General features: G+C 43.3%; 1 protein-coding gene and 1 pseudogene across 16 annotated transcripts in view, besides 1 other annotated feature; one reads left to right on the forward strand and one right to left on the reverse strand.

Annotated features, from left to right (window-relative positions):
- MDM4 (MDM4 regulator of p53) overlaps positions 1–12,597 on the forward strand; it is a 41,715-nt gene that overhangs the window by 7,422 nt on the left and 21,696 nt on the right. For 7 of the 16 annotated variants that reach the window (XM_024447114.2, XM_047420951.1, NM_002393.5 and 4 more), the window contains exons 2-5: positions 1,657–1,769; positions 2,533–2,607; positions 6,857–6,990; positions 8,364–8,419. In XM_024447114.2, the coding sequence (XP_024302882.1) occupies positions 1,692–1,769; positions 2,533–2,607; positions 6,857–6,990; positions 8,364–8,419 (343 nt within the window). In that variant the 5' untranslated portion in view covers positions 1,657–1,691. Of the gene's footprint in view, positions 1–1,389; positions 1,520–1,656; positions 1,770–2,532; positions 2,608–6,856; positions 6,991–8,363; positions 8,420–12,597 lie in introns of those variants that run through there. The other 9 variants (XM_017001311.2, XM_017001312.2, XM_017001313.2 and 6 more) reach the window with 4 other exon arrangements.
- Positions 566–1,765: an enhancer, noted in NCBI's record as "MED14-independent group 3 enhancer chr1:204493521-204494720 (GRCh37/hg19 assembly coordinates)". NCBI's record gives its function as "activates an origin of replication core promoter dependent on BRD2, BRD4, P300/CBP and CDK7 cofactors, and independent of MED14, by STARR-seq in HCT116 cells {active_cell/tissue: HCT116}" and the evidence as "EXISTENCE:reporter gene assay evidence [ECO:0000049][PMID:35650434]".
- On the reverse strand, positions 4,266–5,880 carry LOC100291628 (penta-EF-hand domain containing 1 pseudogene; annotated as a pseudogene).

A 12,597-nucleotide genomic window follows, 5' to 3' on the forward strand; every position in this document is an offset into this window, starting at 1 on the left:
TGAACAAGGGAGGGGAAGGGGTTCTTATCCCTGACGCAGGTAGCCCCTACTTCTGTGTTGTTCCCGTATTGGCTAGGGTTGGACCGCACAGTCTAAGCTAATACTGATGGGCTATTTTAAAGAGAGCAGGGGTATGAGCTGGAGTGGCTGGGCGAGTAGTATGGCGGGAAGAACAGTTACAGAACAGGTGACTCAGGATGACTCAGGTCAAGGGAGGTGACCAGGAGTGACTCAGGATGGAGCAGGTGATAGAAGCTAGGAGGGGGTTGTTTACTGAAACGAGGGGCAAGGAGATGAAGAGAATGAGGAAGTTAAACTTTTAAAGTTTTAAATGAAGAACAAAGAACAGGGGAGCTGAACATACAGATACATTGGTTTTTTGGAGAGCATCTCAGAACTCATTGTACTTAACAATTTACAGGCTAAAACCTTTGAAGAGGAATTTATTAAATCCTACATCTCAAACTCCTGACCTCAGGTGATCTGCCCATCTTAGTCTCCCAAACTGTTAGGATTACAGGCGTGAGCCACTGCACCTGGCCTATTCTAGTCGCCATTTACCCTTTCCCTGATGTGGCTTGTTAGTCATCAGTTTTAATAATTGTTGCCTTTTGTTAGAAAAAGGCATAAATGAAGGTTAACTTAAGTTTATTTAAAAATCTATTTTCCGGCTGGGCATGGTGGCTCACGCCTGTAATCCCAGCACTTTGGGAGGCTGAGGTGGGCGGATCACGAGGTCAGGAATTTGAGACCAGCCTGACCAACAGGGTGAAACCCCGTCTCTACTAAAAATACAATAATGAGCTGGGCGTGGTGGCGTGTGCCTGTAATCCCAGCTACTCAGGAGGCTGAGGCAGGAGAATCGCTTGAACCTGGGAAGCAGAGGTTACAGTGAGCCGAGATTGCGCCATTGCGCTTCAGCCTGGGGGACAGCGAGACTGTGTCTCAAAATAAATAAATAAATAAACAATCTATCTTCCTTCTCTGTAGCTTTTGTTTTTTTAAGGATAAAAGGTAGGTGAAAGATTTTCATTGAACTTTACTCTGTATTTCACTTCATGCTACATCTTTTCTTTGATGGTATATGTCCATCTCGGTTTAACCCATTTTGTAGGTTTGTAATTGCTGTGTTTTTTTCTGGGGTTGGTACATTTACAAGCTGTTTTAACTGGTACTTAAAATGTTGACTCTTAGTTAACTTTCTATGGTCCTTTGTCAAGACATGTTCCAACATGTTGTAGAGGTTTTCCTAGAAGTCCTGTTGGAATCTTAAAACCTGTGACTTACCTTGGTAAATCCCCAGTCTTGCATCTAGAGAGTGCTCTACCTGATAACCATTGGGGAGATAATGATTTGACTTTCAGCTAAAACAGTTTACTGATTAACATCAGTTGGAGGTTGGAGCGTGCCTGAAACTGTTACTGTTTCAGCCTTCACCTGAGAGAAGCTTGGACGATTCTTACTCTTAATTAAATCAGAACTAGAAAGTAGTCAGAAGATATGCAGAACCTCAGCAAGGGTATACAGCATTTGTGTACGGTGCTCCATTATATGTGTCATATGTGTCTTTTACTTCTGCTGGTTGCCTTTGTGTGAATGCTAAATAGGGAATTTTCTGCATTAGAATAGATGTTATAAATTTTTTTTTCTATTTAGTTTTACCAACAGACTGCAGTTTCTTCACTACCAAAATGACATCATTTTCCACCTCTGCTCAGTGTTCAACATCTGACAGTGCTTGCAGGATCTCTCCTGGACAAATCAATCAGGTAAATCATTTTCGGTATTTCTAGTTTTTTGGTTTTTTTTTTTTTTAATTTTTAAAAAGTTTAGCTGTCTCATGACTGTAATCCCAGCACTTTGAGAAGTCAAGGCAGGAAGCTTACTTGAAGCCAGGTGTTTGAGACCAGCCTTGGCAACATAGTGAGACCTGTATCTCTACAAAACATTTCTAAAAGAAAAAATTAGCTAGATGCAGTGGGGTGTGCCTTTAGTTCTAGCTACTTGGGAGCCTGAGGCGGGATATCACTTGAGCCCAGGAGTTCAAAGCTGCAGTGAATTATGATCACAACCAGTGCACCCCAGGCTGGGCAAGAGAGTGAGACCTTGTCTCTTTTTTAAAAAAAGTAGGGGAGGTGGGGGTTGTGCTGGGCGAGGTGGGTCATGCCTATAATCCCAGCACTTCGGGAGGCGGAGGTAGGCAGGTCTCTTGAGCCCAGGGGTTTGAGAACAGCCAGGGAAACATGGTGAAACCCCCTCTCTACAAAAAAATACAAAAATTACCTGGATATGGTGGCGTGCACCTGTAGTCCCAGCTACTCTGGAGGCTGAAGTGGGAGGATCAGTTGAGTCTGGGAGGTTGAGGCTGCAGTGACCTGTGATCACACCACTGCACTCCAGCCAAGGCGACAGAGCAAGACCTTGCCTCAAAAAACAAAAGCGGGGGGAGCTGTTTAAAGAGGTTCTCTTGTTCCATAGTTTCAGAAACCTACTTGAAATGTAAATAGCACATTTATTTTATGTTTATATCAGGTACGACCAAAACTGCCGCTTTTGAAGATTTTGCATGCAGCAGGTGCGCAAGGTGAAATGTTCACTGTTAAAGAGGTAAGCCATCAAATAAAATTCTCATTTTTTTTGTTTTTTTTTTTTTTGAGATGGAGTCTCCCTCTTTTGCCCAGGCTGGAGTGCAGTGGTGCGATCTCAGATCACTGCAAGCTCCGCCTCCTGGGTTCACGCCATTCTCCTGCCTCAGCCTCCCGAGTAGCTGGGATTACAGGTGCCTGCTGCCACGCCCGGCTAATTTTTTGTATTTTTAGTAGAGATGGGGTTTCACCGTGTTAGCCAGGATGGTCTCAGTCTCCTGACCTCATGATCCATCCGCCTTGGCCTCCCAAAGTGCTGGGATTACAGGCATGAGCCACCGCGCCTGGCCAAATTCTCAGTTTTAAGAACAGTTGAGAAGTAGAAGCCAGTGAATATGTAGTTTTGAAATCAGGCCTAAGAAAGGAAGTTCTACTCCTGAGGTATCAGAGGGGCAACTTATACTCTGTTTTAAAGACTGTTAGGTTGAACATCATATTTCCTTTCTTTTGAAGTGTGTTATAAGATAAACATAAGATGAACCATGAATTCATTGATCGTAGAGTTAAAATGCAGAGCAAGTAAAGATTAAAAAGACACTGGGCCTGGCACCATAGCTCACGCCTGCAATCCCAGTATTTTGGGAGGCTGAGGTGGAGGGATTGCATGAACCCAGGATTTTGAGACCAGCCTGGGCAACATGATGAAACCCTGTCTCTAAAAAAAAAAAAAAAAATACAAAAATTGGGCGGGCATGGTGGTCTGCTCGTTTAGTCCCAGCAGCTACATGGGAGGCTGAAGTGGGAGGATCGCTTGAACCCAGAAGGTGAAGGTTGCAATGAGGTGCACTCCAGCTTGGTTGATAGAATGAGAGACCCTGTCTCAGAAAAAAAAGACACTGTCTGATTTACAGGCTGTATTTTGAGGCAGGAATTAAATGCAGTAGTTTTTATTATAAATGTGTCAGATATGGTGGCTCACGCCTGTAATCCCAGCACTTTGCGAGGCTGAGGTGGGCAGATCACCTGAGGTCAGGAGTTCGAGACCAGCCTGACCAACATGGAGAAACCCCATCTCTACTAAAAATACAAAACTAGCTTGGCATGGTTGTAATCCCAGCTACTTGGGAGGCTGAGGCAGGAGAATTTCTTGAACCTGGGAGGCGGAGGTTGCGGTGAGCCAAGATTGTGCCATTGAACTCCATCCTGGGCAACAAGAGTGAAACTCCATCTCAAAAAAAAAAAAAAAAGTGTCAGACACTCTTCTGAGCACTGTGAGTTATTTTAAACACATGCATTTAAATAACTTATTTAGCTTCTGAAGTTTTTTAAAAAACAATTTGTATTCTTTAAGTGGAAAAGACTCAGTATTAAAATGTTAATGTTGGGAACTGCTTTCATTTGGTGGGGTAGATATCTAACCCTTCCTAAAGAGAAGAAACAAAATTATCAGGCTTTTTTTTTTTTCGAACTTAAAACCTTCACACCTATCAACACTGCCACACTCCAGAACCATTACACTTCTCAAGGAGACAAATCTGGAGGCATTTCTGATTTTTTAGAATACCTATATTACTTTTACGATTTTAAATTAAGCACATCGTTTTGGAGTATAAAATTTGACACGTAAGACCTTTTTTTCCCCAAACTTATTAAAGTCTGGAATTTTTTTTTTTTTTTTTTAGTTTTATCCTTTTATTGAAGCTTACAATTTCACTGAACTTTTGGCCCCAAATGAAAAAAATGCAAATTAAAAAAAGTATTGGCAAGGAGAGGTGACCACTGTCCCCTGGAGATGGAAGCCGAGCAGAGCGTGGCAGGCAAGTGAGGGATCCCAGCTGCGGAGGCAGTAGCCTGGCCAAAGATGCCCAGGGAACAGATTTGTCTGAGCAGGGCCAGCCCCAGGCAGCTAGAAGTTAATACCCAAGGATTTATGGGTGTGATGGAATCCAAGCCACTGGTCCCAGGGGCAAATCTCTCTCATGCTTGGTCAGATTCCACTTTGGAGAAAATGGGCTCATGTGACAGGATGGCCTGGTGAGGGAACACAGGTGCTAATGGTAACAGGCCAGTGAACACTCGCCACTGGCATCAGGGTGGAGCTCAGCTGACTGGACACTAACTCCATTACAAGGACCAGAATCTCCTGCGTCTGGTGCCAGGCTGTGCCACTCAACTGCTCATGGCCGTCGGGACATTCAGCTTTCATCCTCTCCTTCATCAGGCCCCTACCTGTGTGGCCTCAGCCCTGGTCCTCACTATTTGGTGGCTGTGATGCAGGACTCTCAACCCTCTTTTGGAACAGTGTTGCATCAAGCAAGGGAGAATGTTCTTCTAGAGGGACAGGAAAAGAAGAGAGAGGTCCACGTACTTCTGTCACTCTAGGAAGCCAGGAAAGGTCCCTGGTGCACTCCACTCTCCACAGATGGGTTGGGTCATAGCATCCGAGCTGTCATGGTGACGACGTCCTTGAAGCTGAGCCGAATGTTGCCTTGTACAGCTGTGTCCTTCTCCCGGAAGGCCTCTGTCGGCATCTGCAGCTGGGTGCACACCTGGATGAAGCAATCAAGCTGTCTGGCAGGATTGACAGAGCGTGGGCAGTAGCTGGAGACCAGTAGCTGGGTGAACTGGGGGCTCAGGTTGTAGCCCATTTGGGACAGAGCTTGCTGCAGCTCTGTGTAGCTAATGGAGCCTGAGTTGTCCCAGTCATAACTGCTGGAAGAGCTGCTTCCACTGCTGGATGAATTTCCACAGGGCTGAGAAGCCGTAGACATTTATGTGGCCTGATTAGGTCTTGTCAAACATGTTTATCATCATGAGGCAGGTCTCATCATTGAACAAGGACCAGTTGCAGTTGACCAGAGCCTGCTTCACCTCCTTCATGGAGATAAAGCCACTGTGATCAGAGTCACCGACTGGAACCAGGAGTAGGCCTCATCCATATTGGGAGGGGAGCCACCCTGTCCATGAGGCCTGGGCTGCTGGGCACCGTAGGAATTTGGAGGTGGCTGACCATAGGGGCCCCCTGGAGCTGTACCATCATTTGGTCCTCCTGGAGTTCCAGAGGGGAACATCCCAGGATTGAGGTGTCCATAGGGCCCTCTACCAGCTGGTGGTCCATAAGGCCCTCCAGGGGCAGGACCCCCATAGCCACCACCAGGGGGTAGCACGCTGCCATACTGCCCTCCACTACTGGGGGGGGTCCAAGGTAGTAGCTACCCGGAGGGGTTCCTGGCGCTTGCCCTGCATCTCCAGGGCAGCCCCGCCCATACAGATAGCTGGCTGTGGCAATTCTGACGTCACACACAGGCAAGGGGTAAAGTCTGGATTTTTATATCATTATAGTGGTTATGATGAATTATGCCATCTCCTTCATTTAGCATGGCAGAGTTTGCCTGAGTTTACACGATGAGCTTTCTGTTATGAACCTTGACTCTATCTATTGCATAAAGGGAATTTCCTGATTTTTATTATTTATTTATTTAGAGCCAGGGTCTTACTCTGTCACCCATGCTGGAATGCAGTGGTGGTATCTCAGCTCACTGCAACCTCCGCTTCCCAGGTTCAAGTGATCCTCCCGCCTCAGCCTTCCTAGTAGCTGGGACTACAAGCGTGCCTCACCACACCTGGCTAAGTTTTGTATGTTATGTAGAGACAGGTTTTGCCATGTTGCCCAGGCTGGTATCAAACTCCTGGGTTCAAGCAATTTGCCTGCCTTGGCCTCCCAAAGTGCTGGGATTACAGGTGTGAACCACTTCAGCCGACTAAATTTTTATTTGATAAACACTTGGATTTTATGTTTTGTCCACTTACAATGCTGATGGCTCTTATTAAACATTGTACTTCATTTGCCAAAAAGAATTATTATGTGAACACATATCAAAAGCCTAAAGTCGTTTATGTGCCCTGGACTGGGAAAATATTTTTATAATCCAGGCAAATTACTTCTAGTAATAGAATAGACTTCTTTATTTGGACGTCTGAGAAAATTTTTAAGAGGATACTAGGTAAATTCACTGCTTTTTCTCATTGTCAGATCAGTTCATTTCTGTGCTGAAAAGTCTGGGTCTGTTAATTGTCAGAAAGACAATGAGTAGATGGACCTAGTAGTTGGGAGCGGCTTTCCTGTTGTAGGACCCCTTACACAAACTTTGACAGTCTTGTAAATATGTTATTTCTTTCTTTAGCAAACTAACTTACCTTACCTCCTCTAATGAATTTGTGTTTTTGGTAGCAGCTGGACAGATCACAACATGGTATTTTATTCCATGCAGGTCATGCACTATTTAGGTCAGTACATAATGGTGAAGCAACTTTATGATCAGCAGGAGCAGCATATGGTATATTGTGGTGGAGATCTTTTGGGAGAACTACTGGGACGTCAGAGCTTCTCCGTGAAAGACCCAAGGTAAAAACAGTGAGGGCTTGCGTATCTTTTTGGGTGCTTATACCTAGCCACTTAATTTCTATGGGTTATTAATATTTATTACTTCACTCAACAAATATGTAAGAGCCTACATATGTTAGGTAGCCTATGAGGCACTGAGAATATGGTAATGAGCGACACACAGTCTGATTTTATGGAGTATACAGAGTAGTGAGTCAGTAGATGCTCTTGCCCATCTTAGTCAAATAATCACACTAATTCATGGTAAACCTACACTATGGCAAGTGCTACAGAAAAGAGATACATGAAGCAGGGAGTGGGTGGGATTTAGAGTGTTAGAGGTCAAGAAAATGTTCTTTTGAGGAAGTGAAATTTCAGCCAAAAGCTGAAAGATAGATAATTAAGTAGTCAATCAGAGAGTTTGAGGTTGATTGAACACCATGTGTAAAGGCCTGGGTAGGAGGAAGCTTGATGTGACTAGGTTAGAATTTTGTGAAATAATTGTTGGAGAGGGAGGAAGAGTGAGCAGATGAGAGAAATGTAGAATTGCTGGGCAGTTAGAGGTTGATGATGAGCCTGGTAAGAATCACAGTAGGGCTAACCTGACCTGTTACTTTTCTCCAGCTGCATGGGGTGTAAGTTATTAGCTTATATAGTCAAAAGCTAATTAGTAATTTAGAAGCTCTCTTTCTCTATAGCTTTGATGACTGCTGCTTCTGAGCTCATTCTGTCTTACACTAAGACTTCCCTTAGCTGGGTGTGGTGGCTCAAGCCTGTAATTCCAGCACTTTGGGAGGCTGAGGTGGGTGGATCACCTGACTTCAGGAGTTCAAGACCAGCCTGGCCAACATAAGTGAAACGCCGTCTCTACTAAAAATACAAAAAATTAGCTGGGCGTGGTGGCGGGCGCCTATAATCCTAGCTAGTAGGGAGGCTGAGGCAGGAGAATTGCCTGAGTCCGGGAGGCAGAGATTGCAGTGAGCTGAGATTGTGCCATGGCACTCCAGCCTGGGCAATAATAGCAAAACTCCGTCTCCAAAAAAAAAAGACTCCCCTCCACCCCCACTTTCCAATTACAATGTGAAACTTCAGTCCTGGAAGGAAGGAATAGTTTCCAAAAGAGATTTCCCCACTTGGATTACTGTTCGCTAATGAAATAAAATGTAAATTAATCAGTTTTTTAATGGGGGCAGAGTAACACAGGGGCCTGGGCATTAACATCTTAATATTTAAATAATTAAAAACTGTTCTGGGAAAAAGATTCTGCCTTTGTATGCCTTACAGAGAGACTTGGGAGATAACATCAGAAATACATTTAATATTTAACGGCAAACCACTGATATCTTCATAGTGGCATTTGGGGTTGTTAATTTTTTATCTTCTCTCTTTAACAGCCCTCTCTATGATATGCTAAGAAAGAATCTTGTCACTTTAGCCACTGCTACTACAGGTATGTCACATCATATTTCTTCAGTCTGTATCACAGCTTTGAGTTCAAGGGGGCAAATGATGGGAAAACAAAGAAGATGAAGGTGGAAATGGAATGCTATCTTTGGCATGACTGGGAGAAATACATACTACCTGTCACACAGAATGTTATGTTATTAACTTTTTACTGAAAAATCAAACATAGAGTAGAAGGATTTCCACTTTCTAGACGTACTGTTAACGTTTTGTCATATTGCTTCATCTAGACACACTTTTAAAAATCTCTAGCAGATAAGGACTTTTTTCTCCAAACATTCAATATCATTATTACACATAACAAATTTAACATGTAATTCCATAATCCTATTTCATAGCCAGTTTATGTATCATTTCCCCCAGTTATCTCAAAAATACCTTGTATTTTTGTCTTACTTGAATTAGGATCCAAAGTCCACACATTGCCTTTGGTTGATATGTCTCATAAGTGTCTTTAATCTATAAAACTTAACTTTCCTTTTGTTTTCATGTCATTTACGTGTTGAAGAAATGGGTCATTTGTTCTGTAGAATTTCCCACGCTCTAGAGTTGGCAGATTGTATCCTTGTGATTTTGTTTAATGTGTTTCTTTACCCTCTCTATTTTTGGTAAACTGGTAGTGCTTGAATAAATTCAAGTTTAAATTTTTTGCCAAGAAAGCTTTATAGGTAATGCTTTGTACTTCTGTTTAATCACATCAGAGTCATGTAAGGTCTGCCTGTCTATTTTAGTCAGTCATGTTAATAATCTGTGGGCTCAGGTGGTATCAGTCTGATCCATCTGTTACACAGGTCACTCAAGAACCTTTTACCTAATGGCTTTAGCCATCTCTTATCTGAATGCCAATTTGTCTAACCCTTTGCTTGATTCTAGACCTTCTAAATACTGCTCTTTAACTATTAGGTATGTATAGGAAACTGGCTGTACTGGAGTCTGGAGTCTCCAAAATGGTGGTCTGTAAGAGATAGGTAAATAAACTGGACAGACTGAACATAGCCATTTCCAAATAATGAAACTTTTTCCCTCTCCACTACTACATAAAGCCCTTTTGTGAGCTTCATATTAACATTGCCCTTTGAAGAAAGCCCAAGTTAGTAATCTTTTTAGATTGACCATCTTTTTTTCTTCTCAGGTTGCCCAGGCTGGAGTGCAGTGGCACTATCTCAGCTCACTGCAGCCTGGACCTCTCGGGCTCAGGTGATTCTCCCACCTCAGCCTCCCGAGTAGCTGGGATTATAGGCACATGCCACCATGCCTGGCTAATTTTTTGTATTTTTAGTAGAGACAGGGTTTTGCTGTGTTGCTCAGGCTGATCTTGAGCTCCTGGACTCAAGCAGTCCACCCACTTTGGCCTCCCAGAGTCCTGGGATTATGCGTGTGAACCACTGCACTTGGCCACTGCCACTGTCTTTTGATAGTTTACTGAACTGTCTTTTGCACTGTCTTTTGATAGTTTACTGAAATAAGTAGGTTGAGAAGAATCCATTCCTTTTTATCTTTTTCTTTCTTTCTTTTCTTTTTCTTTTTTTTTTTTTTTAAATGTAGAGCGTCTTGCTCTGTCACTCAGGCTGGAATGCAGTGGTGCAATCATAGTTCACTGCAGCCTTTACCTCCTGGGCTTAACTCATCTTCCTGTCTCAGCCTCCCAAATAGCTAGGACTATAGGTGCATGGCACTGCACTGCACCTGGCTAATTTTGTTTTTTTGTAGAAATGGGGTCTTGCTTTGTTGCTCAGGTTGGTCTTGAACTCCTGGCCTCAAGTGATTCTTCCACTTCAGCCTCCCGAGGTGTTGGGATTACAGGCATGAGCCACCGCCCCCAGACCTAAATCAATTACTAATAAAGATTTATTCTTTAAAGGCAGAGAAAGAGACATTGCTGTCATACCGAAACATGATTTTGAACTTACTGAATTTTGAAGCCTGTTAGTCTCATTGAGTCATATGCCCACTTCACATAGCTGTAAATTTGAGAGTGAAGATCCTGCAAATGATACGGCAGCTTTATTGAAATTCAATCACTTGTAAAATAGCATGGCTTTCCTGCGATAGTCACTAAAGGTTTGAGATACATGGAGGATTTTATAATTGCTGATCTACTTTTTCATTAAAATTTGTTTTTGGATTGATCTGTTTTCTGAATATCTATAATTCTCCTTTTTTCTCTCATTTTCTTTCTTGTACTTTCTCTGCAGAATTTAACATGCCATATAAAGAATATTTTGTTGGTTTTGTTTTGTTTTGTTTGAGACAGGATCTCTCTGTTGCTCAGGCTAGAGTGCAGTGGCAAGATCTCGGCTCACTGCAACCTCCGCCTCCGTGGCACAAGCAGTCCTCCCACCTCAGCCTCCTCAGTAGCTGGGACTACAGGAGTATGCCACCACACCTGGCTAGTTTTTTGTATATTTTTTTGTAGGTACAGGTTTTCTGCTTGTTGCTTAGGCTGGTCTTGAACTCCAGGACTCAAGCGATCCCCCTTCTTCGGCCTCCCAAAGTGTTGGGATGACAGGCGTGAGCCACCATGCGTGGCCCATTTTTATTTTTTAACTTGTCGTTTTGAAAAAATTTCAGACTTAATAAAGTTGCAAAAGTATTGCATAGAGTTTCTCTATACCCTTTATCCAGAGTCCCCAAATGGTAACATCTTACATAATAATAGTATGATGATCAAAACCAGAAAATTGCCCCAAGTAATTCTGATTGGTTATCTGTTCTGACTTGCAATTGCATTGGTGCTTGTGGATGGCCATCTCTGTTGATTTTTGTGATTTGGGTTGCTTGTGTTTTATTTGAAAGGACAAATGAGAGAAGTGCTTTTCATATAATTTTATACCTTTGCAAATGGGTTAAACTTTTCATTTTGGTCAAGAAGATGCCATTGTTTAAAATGGTAGTTCTTTTTTTTTTTTTTTTTTGAGATGGAGTCTCGCTCTGTCGCCTAGGCTGGAGTGCAGTGGCATGATTTTGGCTCACTGCAGCCTCCACCTCCCGGGTTCACGCAGTTCTCCTGCCTCAGCCTCCTGAGTAGCTGGGACTACAGGCGCCCGCCATCATGCCTGGCTAATTTTTTATATTTTTAGTAGAGACGGGGTTTCACCGTGTTAGCCAGGATGGTCTCGATCTCCTGACCTCGTGATCTGCCCGCCTTGGCCTCCTAAAGTACTGGGATTACAGGCGTGAGCCACTGCACCCAGCCTAAAATGGTAGTTCTTTCTAAATTGTCTCTCCAAATTTTCCCATGTATACAAATGAAATAAATATGACTAACTTTGTGTGTGTTTATTAATTTTTGAGACTGAGTCTCGCTTTGTCGACTAGGCTGGAGTGCAGTGGTGCGATCTCGGCTCACTGCAACCTCTGCCTCCTGGGTTCAGGTGATCTCCTGCCTCAGCCTCCCGAGTAGCTGGGATTACAGGTGCGCACCACCAAGCCCGGCTAATTTTTGTGATTTTAGTAGAGATGAGGTTTCACCAGGCTGGTGGGTTGCCCAGGCTGGTCTCAAACTCCTGGACTCAAGTGATCCACACACCTCGACCTCCCAAAGTTCTGGGATTACAGGCGTGAGCCACCACACCCGGCTAATTTTAAAACTTCTTTTTTACATTGTGGTTTCACCAGATAATTTATTTTTGCTTGTAACTGTTTTAACCTAAGTAAGGTAGTAAGGCTTTGGAAATATAAATGACAGTAATAGGATTGCTTTATTAAAGAATTGCTCCTGGCCTGTGCGGTGGCTCATGCCTGTAATCCCAGCACTTTGGGAGGCCGAGGCGGGTGGATCACAAAGTCAGGAGTTTGAGACCAGCCTGGCCAAGATGATAAAATCCTGTCTCTACTAAAAATACAAAAATTAGTCAGGCGTGCGCCTATAATCCTAGCTACTTGGGAGGCTGAGGCAGGAGAATCACTTGAGCCAGGGAGGTAGAGGTTTTAGTGAGCCGAGATTGCGCCACTGCTCTCCAGCCAGGGTGACAGAGCAAGACTCCGTCTCAAACAAACAAAAAAATTGCTCCATCTGCATTATATGTTAGTCCAACTTCGCTTTGAAGACCACTGTGGTCAGAAAATGCTGTCTCTCAAACTTTTTGTTGTCTCCGTTTGTCCACAAAAATGTTTCTGGAAATAATGTTTTTTATAATTAGAATTTTGAAAATGTTTGCTTTT

This window comes from Homo sapiens, chromosome 1 (genome assembly GCF_000001405.40).
Source record: "Homo sapiens chromosome 1, GRCh38.p14 Primary Assembly".
Taxonomy (NCBI): Eukaryota; Metazoa; Chordata; class Mammalia; order Primates; family Hominidae; genus Homo; species Homo sapiens.